We start from the raw sequence: 25,021 nt of genomic DNA on the forward strand, positions 1-25,021 counted from the left end.
AATATGAAAAATATAATATTTGATGCAAAAGTATAAAATGTCTAGACTTTTAACTTTTAAAATGTCACAAAAATAATTCAATAATAACTCAATGGGATGAATGGCATAAAATGCTTTTGTATCTGTTTAAATGAAGTAAAGACACTGGTTACCTGATTTGGTGTGGCATAAAAATATTATTTTAACCAGTAGGCTTTCAAGAAAGTTTGTATTTGTTTAGAAAAATAACCAAATAGGCTTTTCAGAGGATAGAAGTTTTCATGTCAACGCCATGGATGGAAGAAGATACTCATGTCCTAAGTTAATTTCTCAGCAGAATAATAAGAAATGCAAAGGAAATTAGAGAAGGGGCAGTAGAGAGAGAAGAGAAAAGGTGAACCCACTTGTTGAGTGGACTAAAGCTCAAGTTATTGGAAGGGAGTGAAGGAAGGAAAATGAGTCTTAAAAACATTTTTTATTTATCATTATTACAGATAATTATTCATTTATTTATCTACCTATTTATTTCAAATTATGTTTCAAAGTAATTGTTTGCCAAACATGATGATGCATAAAGGTGAAATTTTAAAGGTGAAATTTTAAAGATTTTAAAGTGATTATGTTCTAAATCACTGTCATGATTGTAGCTTGTGATGGTGGTAGGGGAGAAGGCTTGACAGTAATTAAGAAGTAGAAAAATAGATTAAAATATCTACTCAGGATGAGAAAGGCAATATAAAATAATCAATAAAGGTAACCATGAGTTGAGCAGCTGAAATACAGAACTTTCAGAGGGGTGAACAGAGCTAGCCTGTCTGAGTTGGTAATATTTGCAGTGAAGGCTAAATGATGGGAAGCAAAGCTTTCTAGGAGAAGAGGACCTCAGGCCCTTGTTTGGAAAGGTCTAAGGTATGTGTTTGGAAAAATTTTGGCAAACTTTAGCAACTGTGTCACTGTTTGTGGGGAGATTTATAAAGATATAGCTAGAGAGAGAGTTAACAGCATTTCCAGTGATAAGTTTGGATTTTATTTCAAGTACTAATGGAAGAAAATGATAATTTTAATCAAAAGAGTGCCGTAACTGTTAGTTAATGCTCTCAAATCTCCAAAAAACAAATAAAAAACAAACACAAAATACAGAAAAACTTTATTATACAAAATGTAAGTTTAGTGTGGGAGTTATTTGGTAGAGTGGGAAGAAAATTGCTTGTCATCAAGAAGGGGTTGTGCAGCCCATTTAGCTCCACTCCAATCTCAAAAGAAAAAAAAATTGTAAGGCAAAGAAAAAGGAAAAAAACAATAGATACTAAAAATTTTACCCAGAACTGTTACAAAGGTTTGTGATCATATTTTCTACATATTGACAGATGGCATATGTAATACAACGCATATATTGATTTTCTTTCCAAAGTGTCATGAAATATGGTGAAGATACACATAGGCAATTAAAACATTGCCTTAAATTTCTTATATTTCAAATATGAATTTTAAGAAGAGGCACAATGTCTAATTAACTAATACCCTGCACCTGAGATCTTTAGGCCTAAATTGGGCTGAAATACAAAGAGCTGACACCTTTTTCTGATATAAATACTATTGATAATGTTTCAAAGATGTGGGCATGGCCATTGACACTAAGTCTATTTCTAGGAGGGTATCAGGATACGTTTGGCTCAAGTAAGGAAATATCAACTGAGTGTCTTATTGAGGGAGGTGGTACTGTAGGTGGTTTTATGAGTCAAAATTATCACACAGACCCAATCCTTGGCTCTTTTCATTTTTCCATCTGCATTCTCATCATGGTACTTCTTCCTTTATAATCACAAGATAGCTGCCATAACTGCAGTGATTATATCTTCCCACATTTATTAAGAAGGGAAGAAGAAAGCCAAGGAGATTTCCTCTCACTTCTCTCTGTTATTGTCAAGAAACTAAATATTGTTCCATGACATTGCAGATGACATCTTTTCTCTCTAGTTGAGTAGAATGGAGTAGCCCAAGTTCTACTATGCCTGTCAGAGGAAAAAATGGAAACAGATTGTTGCAACTACATAAATTCTTACTCTGGGACCACTTTTACATCTAAGAAAAATCAGGAATCCGTTGGTGAAGAAATGAGAATGACAGGCAAGCGACAAACAGTGTCTGCCACAATAAGGAAAATATATATGCTAAGAAGGGAATTGTTAAAGTGTTAGAAAAAGATAAAATCTAATTACCCAAAGAGGGAATGGGAGTGTATTTTCAATAAAGAGGATAATTTAATTGAACACAATGTGAGGAAAAGCACAATTATTGCTCTGCTCAGGGGAAGGAGCAATAAGGAGATTAAGAACATCCAAAGAAAATAAATCGCTGTGGAATTCTTTGGGCAAATCACTGTAATATTTGATGTGTTCATAAAATATCACCTATTTTATGATTAGATATTATCTATGGACACACATTTATGAAGGACAAATGAAAATCTCAAGAAAAATAACAGCAAGACATCTGAAAAACAACATAATTAAATATAGATGACAAGAGTAGAATGGCTAAAATCCAAAGCACTAATAATACCAAATGCTGCATCAGCATCTCTCATTCATTACTGCTGAGAATGCAAAACAGAACAGCTAATTTGGAAGATATTTTCAGTTTCTTACAAAACCAAATATACTCTTACCATATGAATCAGCAATCTTATCTTGATCTTATTGATATCTACCCAAATCTGCTAAAAATGTATGTCCACACAAATACCTGCACATTGATGTTTACAGTTTTATTCAAAATTGCCAAACCTGGAAGCAACCAAGATGTCTTTCAATAGGTTAATGAATAAGTAAACAATGGTCCAGCCATACAATGATTTAATTATTATTCACTGCAAAGAAAAATGAGCTCTCATGCCAAGAAAAGATATGGGAAAACCTTAAATGAATGTTACTAAATGAACAAAGCAAATCTGAATAGAATCACTGTATGATTCCAACTCTGGCATTCTGGAAAAGGCATAACTATGGAAACAGTAAAAATATCAGTGGTTAACAGGGGGTAAGGGAGGAGGGAAGAATAAATTGGTGGGGAACAGATGAGTTTTAGGGCAGTGAAGGTATTCTGTATGGTATTACAATAGTAGATACATATCCTTATACATTTCTCAAAAGCCATAAAACATGCAACACCAAGAGTGACTCTAATGCAAATGATGGACTTTTAGTGATAATGATGTCTCAATGCTAGTTCATTATTTGTAAAAAGTGAACCACTAACACCTGCCTAAGTTCTCAGGCCAGAAGCAACTCTGCACTTCCCTGGGATGAGGCTCCCAGAAGGAGAGGCAGGTGGCCATTTTTGCTGCTCCACAGCTCTCACTACTGTTGCCATCAGGATAAGAGGGTGTACAGTGATCAGGGACTAATCCAGACCCCGAGCACAGTGCAGCTGTTTGCCATGTGGGCCCACACCACTGCTACTCCACTCTAGGCACGGCCTCCAGACCCAGGACTCCAGCCACTTCCTGCCTTGGCTCTCGGGCCAGCAGCAGCCCTGCATTTCCCTAGGATGGAGCTCCCAAAGGAAGTAGGCAGGCCACTATTTTTGTTGCTTTGCAGCCCTTGCTCCTGTTGCCCTGAGATATGGGAGGGAGCACAGTGATTAGCTACTGATGAAGATCCTGGGCACAGTGCAACAGCCTTATGGAAAAGTGGCCAGACTATTTTCCACACAGGTCCCCACCTCCACTACTCTTCACTGGGCAGTGTTTCTCCACCTTGAACCCCAGTACAACCACATTTCCCCCATCTGGACACTTCAATCAGTGGCAACTCTGCATTTTTCTGAGGAGGGAATCCTAGAAACAGCCTACAGGCCCTCTCCCATTGCAACTGCAGTGGTAATGACCTTATTGCCCTCAGTCTGGGAAAGAAACAAAGGGCCTGATCACTACACTGGACCACCAGGACACCACAGCCACTATATAGAAAGGAGTCCAGTTGCTCTTCCCTGTGAGCCCCCACCCCTCACTCTTCACCAGTCAGGGCCCCCAGCTTGGGAACACACAGCAGCTGTCTTCTACCCACAGCCAAGCATTTCCACTGCCAGTGGCTCTGTGTTTCCCTGAGAGTGGCTCCCAGAAGCAAAAAAAAGGCTCTCTGTCCCTGCAGCAGTTCTGTCCCTGCTGCCCTCAGACTGAAGAAGAAACAAAGAGCCTGTGGGCTTTACTCATTTCCAACACAACACAGTCACCATCTGGAAAGTTGCCCACTCTCTCCCAACTGTGAGCCCTCAACCACCAGCTTTTCATCAAGTGGGGCCAACAGTTGGGCCAGCAGTGTAGCAGCCCCAGACCCTTGCTGACCAGTTCTAGTAGCAGTGGCTCTGTGTTTTTCTGAGGTGGAGATCCCAGAGGCAACTGAAAGTCTGTCTACTACTGCCACTGTTCATCTCCAGGTAAGGTGCCCTGGTTTTGGTCCAGAACACAGCTGCCCCACCACAGGCCAGTCACACTAATGGAAAGCCACTTTGCATCTCTCTCTGGGGTGGAGCCCCAGGAGACAAGTAAAAGGTCCTCTGCCTCAGGCACTGTCATGGTCCCTCCTCCTACTGCCTCCTAGCTGGGAAGGGAACATAAAGCCTGAGCTTGCCCCAGTGCTGCAGTGTGAAACCCAGGAGTGCCAAGCTGAGAACTGCAGCCAGCACTCCAGTGGGAGAGGAGCACACACTTTCAGAGCATTGAGAGGTAGCATGGCAGCAATCATGAGGAAATACAGAGGAGTCACATGGCTGAGCAAAAGCCTGTCTACACATTCTTTGGTTATATGCCATCTGTTGGATCAAAGCCCAAACTTCAATACCAAAAATACTAACATACACTCCTGTGAAACCATGGATGAGAATTCAGCTACAGATAAAGACTTGCACAAAGCCTTGGCCTTCTGGAAACATATAGAAAAGAAGTCAACTGATGGTACTCAAATTGCACCACAGTTAAAGGAGCACCAACCCACACAGATGAGAAAGAACCAGCACAAGAACTCTGGTAACTCAAAAAGCCAGAGTTTCTTCTTACCTCCAAATGACCACACTACTTCACCAGCAAGAGTTCTTAACCAGAATGAAGTAGCTAAAATGACAGAAATCGAATTTAGAATATGGATAGGAATGAAGATCATCTAGATTCAGGAGTAAATTGAAACCCAATTCAAGGAAATTAAGGTTTACAACAAAACAATATGGGAGCTGGTAAACAAGATGACCATTATAAAAAGAAACAAACTGATCTGATACAGCTGAAAACCCCACTACACGAATTTCATAATGCAATCACAAATATTAACAGCAGAATAGACCAAGGTAGGAAAGAATCTCAGAATTTGAAGACTGGCTATCTAAACTAACTCAGTCAGGCAAAAATTTTTTAAAAAAGAATAGAACAAAACCTCCAAGAAACATGGAATTATGTACAGAGACTATGTCTACAACTCATTGGCATCCCTGAAAGATGGGGGAGAAAGAAAGCAATTTGGAAAACACACTTTAGAATATGGTTCATGAAAGTTTCCCTAACCTCACTAGAGAGGCCAACATTCAAGTTCAGGAAAAGCAGAGAATCCCTATGAGATACTACACAAGAAGCCCATCCCCAAGATACATACTCATCAGATTCTCCAAGCTTGAAGTGAAAGAAAAAATGTTAGAGACAGCTAAAGAGAAAGGGCATTTAAGAAATATTTCACCAGAAACCCTACAAGCCAGAAGAGATTGAAGGCTTATATTTAGCATTCCTAAAGAAAAGAACCTCTAAGCAAGAATTTCATATCCAGCTAAACTAAGCTTCATAAGCAAAGGAGAAATAAGATTATTTTAGACAAGCAAATGTTAAAGGAATTTGTTCCTACCAGACCTGTCATAAGAGAGGCCCTGAAAGAAGTGCTAAATATGGAAAGACTATAACCAGCCACTACAAAAACAAACTTAAGTACATAGATCATTGATACTGTAAAACAACCACACAAACATGTCTGCATAATAGCCAGCTGATAATATAATGACAGGATCAAATCTGCACGTATCAACATTAGCCTTGACTGTAAACAAAATTAATGCCCCAATTAAAAGGCAAACAGTGGCCGGCTGGATAAAGAAGCAAGACCTGATGGTATGCTGTCTTCAGGAGACCCATCTCACATGCAATGATACCCATAGACTCAAAGTAAAGGAATGGAGAAAAATCTACCAACCAAATGGGAAATATAAAAAAGCAGTGGTTACTATTCTAATTTCAGACACAACAAACTTTAAATGAACAAAGATTAAAAAAAAAGTTGAGCATTACATAATGGTAGAGTTTGACTCAACAAGACAACAAACCGAAATATATATATACACACAACACAAGAGCACTCAATTCATAAAACAAGCTCTTAGAGACCTATGAAGAGGCTTAGATTGCCTCACAATAATAGTAGGAAACTTCGACACTCCACTGACAGTATTAGACAGACCACTGAGGCAGAAAACTGAAAAAGACATTCAGAATCCGAACTTGACATTTGACCCAATGGACCTAGTAGACATCTACACAACTCTCCACCCCAAAACAACAAAACATACATTCTTCCCATCTGCACATGACAAATACTCTAAAATTGATCACATAATCATACATAAAACAATCCGCAGCAAAAGCAAAATAACTGTCAGAGTTTTGTTTACCAAACACACTCTCAGAGCACAGCATAATAAAAATACTAATCAATGCTAAGAAAACCACACAAAACCATACCATTACATAGAAATTAACCAACCTGCTCCTGAATGACCTTTGGGTAAGCAAAAAATTAAGGCATAAATCAAGAAATGTATTGAAATTAATGAGAACAAAGACACAGCATGCTAGAATCTCTGGGACACAGCAAAAACAAACAGTGTTAAGAGGAAAATTTATAGTGCTAAACAACCACGTTGAAAAGTAAGATAGATCTCAAATCAGCAATCTAACATCATACTGAGAGGAACTGGAGATACAAGAGCAAATCAACCCCAAAGCTAGGAGAAGACAAGGAAAAAAAAACAAAAACAAAAACAAAAAACAAAATCAGAGCTGAATTGGAGGAAATTGAGACGTGAAAAACCACACAAAAGATTATCAAATCCAGGAGCTGGTTCTTTGAAAGAATCAATAAGAGAAATAGACAACTAGATAGGTTAATAAAGAAAAAAAGAGAGAATATTCAAATAACCACAATCAAAAATGACAAAGGGGATATTAACACTGACCATACAGAAATACAAAAAGCCCTCAGAGATTACTAGGAACACTTCAGTGTATATAAGTTAGAAAACCTAGAAGAAATGGGTAAATTCCTGGAAACATACGACCACCAAGATTAAACTGGAAGAAATTAAATCCCTGAACAAATTAATAATGAGTCCTGAAATTGAATCAGTAATAACAAGCCTGCCGACCAGAAAAAGCCCAGGACCAGATAGCTGAATTCTACCAGATGTATAAAGAAGAGCTGGTACCATTCTGAAAGTATCTTGAAAAAACTAAAGAATATGAATTCCTCCTTAGCTCATTCTATGAGATCACCATCGTACTGATGCCAAAACCTGGGAAAGACTTGGCAGAAAAAGAAAATGTCAGACCAATATCCTTGATGAACATAGATGCAAAATCCTCAATAGAATACTAGTAAGCTGAATCTACCTGCACATCAAAAATATAATCCCTCATGATCAAGTATGCTTTATCCCTGGGATGCAAAGTTGATTCAACATATACAAATCAGTAAATGTAAAAAAAAATCGATAAATGTGATTCATCACACAAACAGAACTAAAAACAAGAGCCATATAATTATTTCAATAGATGAAGAAAAGGCTTTTGATAAAATTCAACATCACTTCATGTTAAAAACCCTCAACAAAATAGGCATGGAAGAAACATATTTCAAAATAATAGGAACCATCTATGACAAGCCCATAGCCATCATGCTTAATAGGCAAAAGCAAGAAGTATTCTCTTTAAAAACCAGATCAAGACAAGGATGCCACCTCTCACCATTCCTATTCACCATAGGACTGGAAGTTATTGATAGATCTATCTGGCAAGGGAAAGAAATGAAAGGCATCCAAATAGGAAGAGAGGAAATCAAAGTATCTCTGTTTTCAGACAATATGATTCTATACCTAGAAAAACCCATAGTCTGCCCAAAAGTTCCTTAAGCAGATAAACAACTTCAGCAAAGTTTCAGGACACAAAATCAATGTACAAAAATTAGTAACACCTTTATACACCAACAACATACAAGCTGACAGCCAAATCAAGAATTCAATGCCATTCACAATAGCCGTAATAAGAATAAAATACTAGGAATACAACTAACCCAACGAGGTGAAAGTCCTTTACATTGAGAATTATGAAACACTATTCAAAGAAATCAGAGATGACACAAACAAATGGTAAACCATTTCATGATCAATAATAGGAAGAATCAATATTGTTAAAATGGCCATGATGCCCAAAGCAACGTACAAATTCGGTGCTACTCTTATCAAACTACCAATGACATTCTTCACAGAATTAGAAAACAAACTATTTTAAACTTCACTTGGAACCAAAAAAGAGCATAAATAGCCAAGAGAATTCTAAGCAAAACCAACAAAGCTATGTTACAAGGTTATAGTAACCAAAACAGCATGGTAGTGGTTAAAAAAAAAAAAAAAAAGACACATAGACCACTGGAATAGAATACAGAGCCCAAAAATATTTCTGTACACTTACAGTCATCTAATATTCAATGAAGTCAAGAAAAACAAGCCATGAGGAAAGGATTCTCTATTTAATAAATGGTGCTGGGATAACTGACCAACCATATGCAGAAGACTGCAACTGGACTATATACCTCCTTATACCATATTTAAAAAGTCAACTCAAGATGGATTAAAGACTAATGTAAAACCTAAAACTACAAAAACCCTGGAGATTTCTTCTTGGCCTTTTGGCTAACATTAAGTGTAAAACCCTGAAAAATAACCTAAGAAATATAATCCTGGACATAGGACCTAACAAAGATTTCATGACAAAGATGCCCAAAGTAATTGCAACAAAAACAAAATTGACAAATAGGGCCTAATTAAACTAAAGAGCTTCTGCATAACAAAAGAAACTATCAACAGAGTCAGCAGACAACCTATAGAATGGGATAAAATAGAATGGGATCCTATAGAATGGGAGGAATATTAAGCCACGCTTGGATAGTGTATAAGAACTAAGGTCATACCAGAGGAGCTATGATCAAATGATGTCACTACTGCTATCTTGGCACTCTGGCAGCTGAAATTGTCACAGACATAAATTGCAAGTTATCCAACTTTATGTGCTTCTATCACTTAACCTAGATTTAAAATGTTGGACAAAAATCCAAATTAAAATAATTAAATACAGACATTTTGATTCCCAGATTAGTATATGAGGAAAACAGAGGTAACTCTACAAAAGAAAGAATGGAGGGAGTGGCACATCCTAACAAATTAGAAGACAGAGGGGTGCAAACCAACAGCCTCATTCAATAGCTTATTTCTCACAAGGTTAAAGTTTTCTTAAGTTTTAACATATCACAATGAGCAACTTTAATAAAATTACTTTTTAAAAAGAACATTAGTATTCTTTTTAAAAAGTTTAAAAAGAACATTTAGTATTAAATACTAAATTCATTATCATTTGACAATCAACAATATAGATAAATGAGTTTATTCCAAACTGAAAAGATTATATTAAGCTAGAAGTATAATTATCTGCATGGCCTGTTTTACTAGATTCAATACATTTTTAAAAATTCTCGGGCAATTTGGAGTTGCCTCAGAAGCCTCAAGGGATGGTTTGGGAGACAGAGGGAGCAGAGCTCTGGAGAATTCTGTTTTAATTACAGCAGTTTTACAAACATTTGCTACATTGGAGGTCTGCATAAAAGTATTATTTTGAAAGGGTTTTGAGCTCCCAAAATTTGAAAACCAGTGAATTATGAAATGGCAACTTCTACCCACACTATAAAGGAACAATTCTGTATATAAATGAATTTGATTGTTTAAAGAAAATGATTTATTTGTTTCACAAGTGAACTACGTTTTATCAAGTGTTTACTACAAAGCAGATACTTTTCTAGAATTTTCAATAAGCTATTGAATTTAAATAAGTTTTATAGAAGGATAGGGATGTAGTGTTTGGTAGCACAATTGGGGAAATATAGTTAACAGTAATGTATTTTATATTTCAAAATAGCTAGAAAAGATTTTAAATACCCCATCATAAATAAATGATCAACGTTTGAGATAATGAATCTTCCAAATACCCAGATTTGATCATTATACTTTAGAGGCTTGTATCAAAATATCATATGTACCTTATAAATATTTACAACTACTATGTGTTCCTAAAAATTAACAATAAAATTAAAAGTTAAATATCTTCACAGGTTTGCCATTGGATGTAAACAAGAAAAAGTTAAACATATGTACAATCATTTCAAAACACATTTAGTTTTATGTACTTAGAATCTCTTGGCATGTTTTGGTGTTGCCAATTAATTTTCACTCAGTCAAACATTCTGGTCTACCCTACTCCATATAAGCCTTGTTACAGTTGGGTTGAAACAACAAGAGGTTTAATGGGTTAATGAGACTAATGTAATATCCCTCTACTGTATTTACACAAGTGGAATCTCTTCATTATATTAATAGAATCCTGTAGCAAGCCTATGCTTTCTTCAAATGTGCACTTGCATAGACTGTACAATACCTAAGGTGAACCCTAATGCAAACGATGAACTTTGGGTGATTATCATATGTCAATGTAGTTTTATCAGTTGCAACATGTGTACCACTCTGTTGCAGAATGTTGATAATGGGGGAGGGTATACATGTGTAACAACAGAGAAGAGATAAGAAATCTCTGTGCCTCTCTCTTATTTTTGCTGTGAATCTAAAACTGCTCTAAAAACATCCAGTACTAAAATTAAAAAGTGCACTTGAATATACTTGAATGCCACATAGTATCTGAAAATATTGTAAATCTAAAATGCTCCAGCCAAGAGGAAAATAAATTTTTACAGTAATCCTCTTATTGGCAAAAATTATAACTTCCTCTTAAACAGCTGTTAATCACCCACATTTAATCTCCAGTTTCTAACCACAAAAGGAAACTAGAAGGTATATATAGTATAAGGAATATCTTCCTATATATAGAGAGAAAACTTTAAAATATGTATTTGTAGGTGCTTTTCATATAATAAAATTTGCTTTGTCTCTTACTTCTAGCTTGTTAGAATTGACAGAGCTATTAAATGAATTTGTATCTTTTGACTATTGCCTTTCTTCTTTCCTTCATCTTCCACATTGGAGCACACGTATAATGCTTAGAGATGTAAAAGCCATTTTGCAAGAATGAGAATGAGTGCTACATGCTAAGGAAAGTGGAATGGAAAGTTAAGAACAGTTAAGGTAACTGAGGACATAATGGAACTGTCATACTTCCTCTGAATATTCTCCAATACTACGTATGGAACAGAAAAAAAATCCCTATCTGATGTAACCAAATTACTGATTCATTCAACTGAAAGTAATTCTAATTGATATGACAACTGCAAATATTTATTGATTTATTATGGAAGTTAGTAACTGAGATGACAAAACACATAGGTGAAAGGAGGTATAAGTTATACATGTTCTACTTTTTCCTATGTTGCCACACATGACTATAAATGTCCCAAATTAAAAACACGTAGATATTCAATGTTAGATGTATTCATGAAATAATATTTTTATTTAATAAAATAATCTATACATTAACAAATATTGATGGGTTTTAATTATATAAATTTTATAAACACATGTATTTTTCCAAGAACAAATAAGAAATATCATTAATTCAATGAAACTAAAATATGAAAAATTACTTTTATGTGTTTATTCAGTTCATATTCAACTTAAAGCAACTCACCTGGATTATTGGTCATGATTCAGTTTGTTTATTCTTTTTAGAAAAAATATTTTATATAACAAATGTTTGCATGCGGTTTTATACTGATATTTATATAAATATTACCTGATTAATTATGAAGATTTTCTAATTTAAATTCAAGTGTTACAGAAGAAATGGACCTATACATGGTGCTCAGATGAGATCTGCACAAAACACTCCTAAATTATTATAACATGGGCACTGTAGGAAGACAGAAACACCAAGCAGTCACATACTTTTGCTGAAGACAGAAGTCAAACAGGATTTGTAGGGCTAAAGTATACAGTCTGTCAGTTCCTAGATTTTATAGCATAAATTGACAAATAAAAAGAACCCATTTAAAAACCATTTAAATAGCTACACCCTTATAGGTTTTTCCATTTATAAATTATATGTTCATATAGGAATTGTAGACAAAGATTTTGTTCATATTAATTAATTAGAAGTCATATATGAGGCTGGGTGCGATGGCTCACGCCTGTAATCCCAGTACTTTGGGAGGCTGAGGTGAGTGGATCATTTGGGGTCAGGAGTTTGAGACCAGCCTGGCCAACATGGTGAAACCCCATCTGTACTAGAAATACAAAAATTAGCCAGGCCTGGTGGTGGGCGCCTGTAGTCCCAGCTACTCAGGAGACTGAGGTAGGAGAATTGCTTGAACCTGGGAGGCAGAGGTTGCAGTGAGCCAAGGTCACACCGCTGCACTCCATCTTGGGAGACAGAGTGTGACTTAGTTTCAAGAAAAAAAAGAAGTCATCATATGAAACAAGTTCATAAACCACAGTTTAATGCACAGTTTAAATACTAAACAAGATGTTGGCCACACTTGTCTTTCCGCCCAAAGTGAACTTTGATTTGACACAATTTAGGAGTAGATGTTTTGTTTAATGCCTCTTTTATAACCACTGAAAAGGAAAATTTTGACATAATATTTCAGATTGTTTCAGGGGCTTATGACTGTATTTTTTCTCTTTATCAGATTGTTTCTCAAATGTATTCATAATTTTTTTTGGATTTTTTTAAAATTTTATTTTATTATTATTATACTTTAAGTTTTAGGGTACATGTGCACAATGTGCAGGTTAGTTACATATGTACACATGTGCCATGCTGGTGTGCTGCACCCATTAACTCATCATTTACATTAGGTATATCTCCTAATGCTATCCCTCCCCCTTCCCCCTACCCCACAACAGTCCCCAGAGTGTGATGTTCCCCTTTCTGTGTCCATGTATTCTCATTGGTCAATTCCCACCTATGAGTGAGAATATGCCCTGTTTGGTTTTTGTTCTTGCAGTAGTTTACTGAGAATGATGATTTCCAATTTCATCCATGTCCCTACAAAGGACATGAACTCATCATTTTTTATGGCTGCATAGTATTCCATGGTGTATGTGTGCCACATTTTCTTAATCCAGTCTATCATTGTTGGACATTTGGGTTGGTTCCAAGTCTTGGCTATTGTGAATAGTGTCACAATAAACATACATGTGCATGTGTCTTTATAGCAGCATGATTTATAGTCCTTTGGGTATATACCCAGTAATGGGATGGCTGGGTCAAATGGTATTTCTAGTTCTAGATCCGTGAGGAATCACCACACTGACTTCCACAATGGTTGAACTAGTTTACAGTCCCACCAACAGTGTAAGTGTTCCTATTTCTCCACATCCTCTCCAGCACCTGTTGTTTCCTGACTTTTTAATGATTGCCATTCTAACTGTTGTGAGATGGTATCTCATTGTGGTTTTGATTTGCATTTCTCTGATAGCCAGTGATGGTGAGCATTTTTTCATGTGTTTTTTGGCTGCATAAATGTCTTCTTTTAAGAAGTGTCTGTTCATGTCCTTCACCTACTTTTTGATGGGGTTGTTTGTTTTTTTCTTGTAAATTTGTTTGAGTTCATTGTAGATTCTGGATATTAGCCCTTTGTCAGATGAGTAGGTTGCGAAAATTTTCTCCCATTTTGTAGGTTGCCTGTTCACTCTGATGGTAGTTTCTTTTGCTGTGCAGAAGCTCTTTAGTTTAATTAGATCCCATTTGTCAATTTTGGCTTTTGTTGTCATTGTTTTTGGTGTTTTAGACATGAAGTCCTTGCCCATGCCTATGTCCTGAATGGTAATGCCTAGGATTTCTTCTAGGGTTTTTATGGTTTTAGGTCCAACGTTTAAGTCTTTAATCCATCTTGAATTAATTTTTGTATAAGGTGTAAGGAAGGGATCCAGTTTCAGCTTTCTACATATGGCTAGCCAGTTTTCCCAGATCCATTTATTAAATAGTATATTTGGTCAAATTTAGACACATGCAAACACATATACACACTGTATTTATACATATTCTCATTTTTCTTTTTATGTATGAATATCAATTCCTCAACATGATGTTAAGATATTTCCAACATTGATATGGTAAATATTGCTCAATGCATTCACAATTCAGTAAAAATGTATATAAATCTTAGAAGCATATTAAATCTTTTGTATTCAGTCTTAATTGAAGAAGTCACTACAGGAGATAACATTTTTATGTAAAATAAAAATTTGCACAAAATTGTACATAAGAATTAAATTTCAAAAGGAATTTGATAATGCTTATACTGTTGTGCTCATTTTTTCCTATTTTAGCATAAATTACCACAAATTTTCTAAGGTAAAAACACAGTCAAAGGGAGATATAGTAGTGAAATAATACTTACAGTTAATCAAATAGTTGCTAGTATATTAACAAATGTTGATGGATTGATTATATTGACATGTTTCCAAAAATAAGGCACTTATAAAGGTAGCATTCAATGTACAGATTAAACAAACTACAGAAAGCATTCAATTTAAACCTACGTGATCTACGTATTATTTTGATTGAATATACTGTGTAAAATGTAAAAAACATGCATACAAAGAAAAATGAACAAATAATCATGATATGCTAACAGTAATCACAGAGATATAGTAGCAGAGGACACAGTAAAAGATTAAAGTGATGCTGAGTTTTCACTGATGTATGTTCTGTCACAGAAAGTTTAGGCCACTAGTAACAGAGTATATAATAAAAGATTAAAGAGATACTGAGTTTTCACTGATGTATTTTCTGTCATAGGAAGTTTAGCCTATTGTTTTCCCAACACCTCAAGTGGGAAAATAAATGCCTTCTAGACAAATAGAAAGTTTCTGTAGGCTAAAGTAATTTAGTATCTGTTCTGGCAGATGACATATGCAATTTTTTATCCTCTCTGAGACCACCTGAAGAGCTGTCCTTGTGTGCCTAAGTGGTTATTAAAATACCTCTTTGTAATTGTTTACCTGAAGGCTATAGGAAAAGTGAGATGTCTTCTCAATTCTGGAGAAATTCAATTTAATAAAGTTGATTTTAAGCTCTATTACATCTCAACTCTATTTTCTCCATGGTTATTTCAGATGGAAGGAAGGGATGTCTCTGTTGGAAAACAGATCTGTGGTGTCAAAAGACAGTATTTGGATTCTTGTCTTCATAACAGTGAAAATAATTCATGGGTAATCAATAAAGCCATTCTGAAAACTAAAAATAAAAATACAAAGACTCCTTAGGAAGGAAAAATAAAATAAGAATGCACCTGGATTCTTGGTACTATTTCAACAAAAGTAATTTCTATCTCTTGAACATACTAGACATTTTCCTGACTCTTCTCTGCATGGAGCAGTTTTCAGTTAGAAATTCAAGGGAAATTTCCTTTACCTCCTTCAGACTTACTCTAATCACATGCTCTCAATAAGCCTGTCTTAGGCCACCCTCCATGCCGGCACTCCTAATCCTTCTCACCCTGTTCTATTTTTTCTTTTTTCTTTAACATTTATTTTCTTCCTACAAACTGGACATTTTACTTAAACGTTTTATTGCCAGACCCCTTCTTGTAGAATGAAAGTTGTGCAAGGGCAGGTGCTCAGGCAATATCTGTGGAGATGATGGGTGGATAAATAAATAATTAATAATCTGTAATATTTATTTGCTTTTAATATGTGCCATGTCCTTTCAGACACTATAGATATTTTCTCTGTGTTTATACAGAAATCTTCTAATGTGAAATATAGCTATTAAATAAATGCTTAAAAATGTGATCAATAAACATGAAATATTATGGGAAATTATAGAAGATAATGATATCAAATCCAGGGCTTCAGAGAAGTTCCACTAAGAAATTGAGCTAAAATTTTGTTCTGACAAATGAGTAAAAAATTTTCTAAGAAGTATGAGCAAAAAGCTTTTTGTTTGCAAACATTGTTGGAATCACCTTGTTTGTTGACCTAATAACAGTTTTCAGACTACACTTAATCTTTGTTATCAGAAATTTGGCCTCATTCTTTCTCATGTGACCCATATCCTCCAAAATAAAAATGGAATCACTTTATTGATTGGCATAGGTAGCCAAGACACCCTTACAAATGACTGATTATTAAAATATTTATATTTATATGACAAATACTTGTTTTATATACAAGCAAAGGGGAGATGCAATGAGGATTGTTACATCTCTTACTTTTATACACTAAATTTATCAACAACTACTGATTAAACCAGAGCTAGTAAAACACAGTGTAAACTCTGACTAAAAATATGTCTAACTTACCAGAAAAGGTTTGGCCCCTTTCCTCATGGTGATGAGGTATAAATATTCCATGGAGCAATAAATAGAGAGGAAGGGGTCCACAAGAAAGATATATTGGCTATTTGGATTCTCATCAGACAACTTGCCCCTCTGTACATCCTTTTCTTTTTCCTGGCAGAATGAGGTGAAGACTAGAAAAGGGAAAATTGTCTTTGTTGAAGAGGTAAGAATTATCAAACTTCTTGGGTTGCATGTGAATATAATTGGGAGAAGGTGAAACAGAGATGGTCTGTGAATTCTTATGGGTCAGTTCACAAAGTCGCTATCTCATCTCAGACAACACCCTCACTCACAGGATAATTTGTTCTTGGCAAATACCATAACAGCCTCTTTAAGAATATCTACAGGATGGATCTGCTTGTACAGTTGTAAAGCTAAGGCACTGGTAGGAATTGTTTGCTGTGTGCTATGAAAAAAAATCTCATGTAGATGTTAATATTTGATAACATTAAAAGATGAGAGAACAAGCTGTACAATCCTGGTATTTCTGAGATTTTGGTCAGCTGTAAGCCAAAAGCGTACATACTCATTTTTCTTATTTGTCTAGCACTTTTATGGCAAGACAAAATAAGTGAGCAGGTTGAGTCTGTGCAAGTTTCCAAAGAATGCACAGAGGAAGGGTGAGACCAGTAACTGGGTGTGTGGAGTATCCTTCCAGGACACTTACTGAATATTCTTTTGACTATTACAGGGAGGAGATTTTTTATTAATCACCAAGTATTTGATCACTTATTCTCAAGATTTATGTATAACAAAGGATACAATTAAATATGAGTGCTACAATTAATGCTATTAGTCTCATAATATTTCAATATATATTGTTCTTTTAGATTTAGGTTTTTACCTCTTTGTACAATGAATAGTTGGAGAGATTCTTTTTATACATATATATTTTTGGAGACGGTGTCTCACTCTTGTTGCCCAGGCTGGAGTGCAGTGGCGCAATCTCTGCTTACTGCAACCTCCACTTCCCAGGTTCAAGTGATTCTCCTGCCTCAGCCTTCTGAGTAGCTGGAATTACAAGTACGTGCCACCATGCCCAGCTAATTTTTTGTATTTTTAGTAGAGATGGGGTTTTGCCATGTTGGCCAGGCTGGTCTCGAACTGCTGACCTCAGGTGATCCACCCGCCTTGGCCTCCCAAAGTGCTGGGATTACAGGCGTGAGCCACTAGTTGTAGAGATTCTTATATGCATGAAACATATTTATTACCAGGTAGAAATTTTTGTATTCTCCATAAAAACCCTCTATGTTTTATTTCCTTAAGAATAATGCATATTTGTCATTATGCTCAAGCCAGGTGTTACTGTTACTTAGCTAGTCTATTTTTTTAACTGGTTTACGTCTGACTATAGTCTTTGTCATTCCCACCAGCTGTACACTCAAACAGCTGTGCCTCCCCCTCTTTCACTCAGAGCAATTTCCAGGGACTTGTATTTAAAGGAGAGTGAAATATTGTCTCTAATTATAACAGCAATCTGTTCCGCAGCAGTTTTCACACTCTACTTACATTCCCTACTGTGTTTTTCCAATAGTTTTACCCTTTCTTCCATTTCTCTAATTTTTGCTCTAAACCCATCAAACTGCTGATTAGTTGAATTATTTTTCAAGTTCATTAATTCTAGCACACTTTTGTGAAACCTTTATGGTTGTTTTCATTGATATTTAACATCAAATTGGAGTTATTTCTCAACTTGTAATCCATGCAAATATATTCATTCATAAATAAAAAAATTCCCACTCTATCCCTCCCATTGTAGTTACTATGGATAAAGTAAAAATGAGTGCTGTGATTTTTATTAGGTATAATAATTTAATTCCCTCAATTAGAGTTGCATTACCAACTTAGTTATAATTCTTATCCAGCCTATATTTGTTAAAAGAAATAAGTCCCTATGTTAGACCCTAATGTAAATATAGTTATAGTCTTCTTTAAATTAGTAAGCAAGAACTTTTCTAGCTTGTGCATGTGTCTGTGTGTGTATGTATGTATATGCACCTATATATCAGAAGATTTTACACCAACCTCTAACCTCAACAACATGTCTTTGGGTACAAATAAACAGACGGTTTTAAGGATGGATTTTTCTTGTCATAGCGCTTGTCTCCTGACAGTTACTCAGTGATGCAAAGCTAAAAAGAGCACTGTGCTCATGGTGGAAAATAATTCCCAGGACTTGACAGGGAAGAATGTACTCATTCCACGCCCCGGGCAGAAGTCTGCTGAGACAAACAGAAGAAAGATAGTTAGTGAGCAAATTCATCAAGACCAATATCATGTATTTCTCCCCCTGGCCTGATGGCTGATTTGCACTCCTCCTGTAAGCAACAAAACTGCAAAACCAGTGCTACAAAACAGAAGCACCTGTAAGTCCGTGGGAGCACATCTTTGCTCAACAAGAGATCCTGACAACTAACAACTAACAACCATCTGCCTGAGACACAGTTCGAGTTTTTAAGATGCATCAGTTCCCCTTTCCAGCCTGAAGCCTCATCATCAAACAATGCTTCCAATGCTTGGCATGTTTAATTATAGAATTATAAACTATTAGAGCTTGCTTCCTTGGCAATTATGTGAGGCAACCCTCAAACTTTCCAGAGGATAATGAGCGTAGGCTAATTTGATGGTATTTCAAGGTCATGCATCTATTTGAAAAAGAGATCAGAATAAAATCCAGATTTCAAATTCCTGGTCTAGTGTTCTTTTTATGCTGCCTCCCTTAAATAGTTATTTCTTAAACTAAAAATAATCAAGTCAGAAGAAACCTCTGAATTAACATGCCGTTTTGAAGACTATGATTTTCAAGATAAGCCTTCTTACTCTTATCCCCAAGCAATCAGCCCTTGTTTTAACTTTACAACAGATAGTCCATGGTTTTTTTTTTTTTTTTTTTTTGCCAGATCCCCCTGGTGAATGAGTGGAGAAATTGTTGAGTTGGCAGCCCAAGTTTACGAAAACAATCTGTAGCACTGGAACAGTGAAGCTAACTGGCACATATGGGCAGTGAAAACATGGCCATGGCCTCATTAGCACCATGTGTTAAAAAATGGAGCTAAGCAGTCAAGTGTGAAGGTGAAGCAGGCATGGAGAAGGTCTGTGCACCCTAAAATGGACATGATTGGTTTCACTGTGGAGTTTTTCCTGGTTGTAATTAAAGCCTGATCCTTTCCAGCTGTAGTGGCACAGATTGTTTTAAGATAAATTCAATCTATAATTAAAAATCTCATTAATCATTTCCCAAATTATTTGTTGTAATATAAAATGGAGATGGAAATCATTCCTGCTGTGAAAAATGGTAACAATATTAATAATTGTGGCTGTAACAGATGTTAATGGCAAAAGGACCTCTCTGTTACTGCTCATAGTTTTCCATTTTCACACCTCCATCACTAAGCAAGCAACTGAATATCCAAGTAATCTTTAATCCAATGTGTTTTCTATTTTAAAATACATTCAGCATTTTTAAGCATATTCATTGTGATATAAGAATTTTAGTTTTGATTTCAGATTAAGTTTACTAAATAGACTCAAAGTACCTAAGTGTAACTGGGCTAAAAATGAGATTATTTAACTATTATGGTCACTGAAAATCCATCTAGATAATTACTCTTAATATTTCTAGCTATCAGACTTGGAGCTTTTCTCTTTCCTAGAACTCAATCTTCATACCAACTTTATGAGTTTATAGAAATAAAGGAACTTGCCCAAACTAATGGGAATAATCAACAGAACTCTAAATAGGTGACCATTTTAGTTGTGGTTCTATGGTAAAGAACTTCACAATATTGTGTGTGACTAAATGTTGGTTTCCCTGGGAGATATCCAGGTTATATTTATTGTCCCCAAGACCTTTATGGTGCATTTAGCAGTTGTTCCTGATTTTTTGTTGTTTAAAATCATTATCAATAGTTGCATTAATTTAGGATGGGTTTGGCATATCTCTAATTTTTATTTTCATCTTCTGGTATTCTCTCTATTGTATTGTGTGAGACACTCATGGGTAGAGAATTGAATTCTAATACATTTCAGTCTGAAAGACAACCAAAAACCCAGTTCTAATTTCTGGACCTTTTCCAGAAGCAAAAGACCCAACATATTTAAGGACAGCATGCTAACTAATAAAATGAGGTGCACTCTTCTATGTGGCTATCCGTGCTGACCACTTGAAAATAACTAGTGTGCCATGACCCTTGCTGAAGCTTAGAAGATACCAAAAGCTACCAGGGTTAATGAGAAATTCTGTCAATTTTTATTGGCTATATTTTAAATATATGTATTATACAAAGACAGAGTAATCCTGCAGTAGAACACTTAGTAGTCCAGATGTTTTGTTATAATGATTTTTTTTGTCATTTGTGGTTCAAAACTACAATTCTATATTTGTTATATGGTCATGCTTTTGTCTTTGTTGTTCTGTATTATTTAAAAAAAAAGCAGCAATAAGCCCAAACAAGTACATGTGCAATGGAAAAATAAGTTCTGAGTTTCTATTATTTAGGATAGTTGATATCGAAAATGTAATCTCACAAAATGTTCATGCACATTTACCACCCACATTGGTGACACAATGAAGCACAAGGGAACTCTGCGACTTGAATTTGTTGAACAATCAGTATAAAGCTAGTTGACATGTGAAAAAATGTGCACCCAAATATAATAATTTAGCAAGAGTAACTGCTGAAAGTGTGTTTACACACCTCCCTATGAAAACCAAATTTGCATTCAAAGATTTCTTTCCAAAAATTTTTTCACTATATTCATCTGCAAGTTTTCTTATGCACTATGAAAAATGAAATAACCATCAATATGTGGCTATGCTAATGGAACTTCATAGATAATAAAGTGATCCCAGTATATATCAATGCCATCAGATAACTTCAAATACAAAGTCTGTTGATTCCTGATACAGGTTAATTTTTAAAATCCAATTTGTGAAATCAAAGTGAAGTCATTAAAAATTCATTCTGTCAAAGGTTAAACATCAGACATTACTCTGAATGCTACTGTAAGGTTATTATTAGCTGACATATTTTACCAATTGAAATAGAACTTGTAGTTATCTGAGTTTACTCATACATATACATACAGACAGAATGTAATTAAAATACAAAATTTTAGTTATGTAGCTCTTGTACAAAACAAAACAAAATTCTGCATATTATGTTCTTTTGCACTCTGATGCCTCTTATCAGTTATATTTTAGAAATGTCTGCCCTTGGAAAAACTATTTTATAAATCAACCTAAAGAACCATGTGTGGTATTTAACATTACGTAAGGCAACACCTATATTTCAGTTGAAATTTATTCAAAGTTGAAAATTTTATTCAAAATATTCACTGAATAGGAAGCTAAAATTTAATCCTTAGTAGCTTTTAGTATGTGTAGTTATTTAAAACAAGACTTAGAGCTTCCTGTTTTCCCAGGAAGCACCCAGATGGCAGCGTGGGTCTCCCCACCCATCCCACCACTGGTAGCCAGGCAAGCCACACCTGCTGGAGTTTCTAACCCAGTGGTACTACTTCTGCCTACATTTGCCAAGGGGTGAAACCTCCTGTTTCCCTAAAAATACCCAGATGGTGTGGGGGCAACTCCAGCCATCCCACCTCTTGTACCCAAATGGGCCATACCTGCCATGGCTTCTACGTCAGTAGTCCTGCTTCAACCTGAACTGTGCAGGCAGGCACAGAGCTGGTTTCCCTATGAAACACACAGACAGCAGATTGGGGCTGATCTGGCAAGGATGCCATTTATATGCCAACTGCAGCCACTACCTGAGGGAGCCTCATTGTCTGGAATACCCTACAATAGAAACACAAGCATGGAGACAGTAATCAGAGGGGATTTCTCTAAGACCCAGGAGCAGACTAGAATAGAAGTCAGTGAACCACACCCACCTTATACCATAATCAAATTCCCAAGGGCATGAAGAAAGAAAAAAGAATAATATTTCCAAAGGACAGCAACTTCAAAGATTGAAGGAACAGCAGCCCACACAAATGAGAAAGAACCAGTGAAAGAACTCTGACAACTCAAAAAGCCAGAGTATCTCCTTACCTCCAAATAATTGCATGATTTCACCAGAAATGTTTCTTACCCAGGCTGAAATGGCTGATATGACAGAAATAGAATGCAGAATGTAGATAGGAATGAAGATCATTGAGATGCAAGAGATAATCAGACCCTCTCCATGTTATGTTAGGATTAAAATTTAAAAATACAGAAGCTGATAGACAAAATGGCCATTATAAGAAAGAAGCAAAATGACCAGGCAGAGCTGAAAAACAAACTAGAAGAGTATCATAATCCAATTGCAAGTATTGACAGTAGAATTGACCAAGCTGAGGAAAGAATTTCAGAACTTGAAGAGTAGCTGTGTGAAATAACTTTGTCAGGAAAAAAAATTTTTAAATCAATAAAGAAGAATGAACAAAACCCCTGAGAAATATGTACTCATGGAAATCTATAACTCATTGGTGTCCCTGAAAGAGAAGGAGAAAAACCAAGCACCTTGGAAAATATATTTCAAGATATTAGCCATGAAAATGTCCCCGACTTGGGTAGAGGGGCCAACATTCAAATTCAGGAAATGCTGAGAAACCTTGTCAGATACTACACAAGAAGACTACCCTCAAGACACATAATAATCAAATTCTTAATGTTGAAATGAAAGAAAAAAAATGTTAAAGGCAACTAGAGAGAAGAGGCAGGTCACTTACAAACAAAACCCCATCAGGCTAACAGCAGACCAATGGCAGAAACTGCAATCCGGAAGAGACTGGGGTCCTATATTCAGAATTCCTAAGGGAAAGAATTTTCAACCAAGAATTTCATATCCAGCCAAACTAAGCTTCATAAGCAAAGGAGAAATCAGATTCTTCTCAGACAAACAAATGCTAAGGAGGATTGTTAACACCAGACCTGCCTTACAAGCAGTCCTAAAAGGAGTGCTAAATATGGAAAGTAAAGGCCATTACTGGCCACTACAAAAACACAATAACATAGGACAATGACAGTATAAAGCAGCCACACAAACAAGTCTGCATAATAACCAGTTAACAAAGTGATGACAGGATCAAATCCAGACATATCAATAGTAATTTTGAATATAAATGGGCTAAACTCCCCAAATAAAGGTCACAGAGTGGCAAGTTGAATAAAGAAGCAAAACCCAATGGTATGTATGCTGTATTCAAGAGACCCATCTCACATGCAATGACACCCAAAGGCTCAAAGTAAAGGGAAGGAGAAAAATCTGCCAAGTAAATGGAAATTATAAAAAGGCAGGGGTGGCTATTCTAATTTCAGACAAAACAGACTTTAAATAAAACAAAACCAAAAGATCAAAAAAGACAAAGTGGAGCATCACATAATGTCACATAATAGCAAAGAGTTATTTTAAACAAGAGGACCTAATTGTCCTAACTACATGTGCACCCAACACGAGCACCCAGATTTATAAAGCAAGCTCTTAGATACCGACAAGGGGACTTATATAACCACCCAATGATAGTGGGAGACTTTAACACCACACTGAGAGAAATAGACTGATCATCGAGGCAGAAAACTAAACAAAGATACTCAGGAACTGAACTGAATAGTTGAACAAATGGACCTAATAAACATCTATAGAACTTTCTACCCTAAAACAACAGAATATACAGTCTTCTTATCTGCATATGGCACATACTATAAAATCAACCACACAATCAGGCATAAAACAATCTTCAGCAAATTAAAAAAAAAATAACAGAAATCAGACCAACCTTGCTCAGACCACAGTGCAATAAAAAATCAATACTAAGAAAATTACTCAAAGCCATACGATTACATGGAAATTAAACAATCTCTTCCTGAATGAGCTCTGGGCAAATAATGAAACTAAGACAGAGATCAAGAAATTCTTTGAACCTAATGAGAACAAAGATACAATGTAACAGAATCTCTAGGACACATTCAGATCCGTGTAAAGAGGAAAGTTTATAGCACTAAATACCCATATCAAAAAGTTAGAAAGCTCTCAAATTAACAAGCTGACATCACAATTCTAAGAACTAGAGAAACAAGAGCAAACCAAGTCCAAGGCTAGCAGAAGTTAAGAAATAACCAAAATCAGAGGTAAACCAAAGAAAATTGAGACATGAAACAAACCTACAAAAGATCAATTAATCCAGGAGCTGGTTATTTGAAAGAATGAATAAGATAGATAAAGTATTTGGTAGACTAATAAAAAAAATAGAGAATATCTAAATAAACACAATCAGAAATGAGAAAGCAGACGTTACCACTGACCCTGTAGAAATACATAAATCTTCACAGACTACTAGGAAAATCTCTATGCATACAAGCTATAGAAAACCTAGAAAAAAATGGGTAGATTCCTGGAAACAAACAC

The 25,021-nt window shown here is 35.6% G+C and overlaps 1 long non-coding RNA gene across 1 annotated transcript in view; it reads left to right on the forward strand.

Annotated features, from left to right (window-relative positions):
- The window catches only part of LINC01049 (long intergenic non-protein coding RNA 1049), a 42,055-nt gene extending 22,742 nt beyond the window's left edge, over positions 1-19,313 (forward strand). The window contains exons 4-6 of the long non-coding RNA NR_120414.1: positions 11,371-11,469; positions 16,747-16,791; positions 18,726-19,313. This is a non-coding gene — a long non-coding RNA (long intergenic non-protein coding RNA 1049). The remainder of the gene's footprint in view (positions 1-11,370; positions 11,470-16,746; positions 16,792-18,725) is intronic.
- The last annotated feature ends 5,708 nt before the right edge of the window (positions 19,314-25,021 follow it).

Source organism: Homo sapiens, chromosome 13, assembly GCF_000001405.40.
Source record: "Homo sapiens chromosome 13, GRCh38.p14 Primary Assembly".
NCBI lineage: Eukaryota > Metazoa > Chordata > Mammalia > Primates > Hominidae > Homo > Homo sapiens.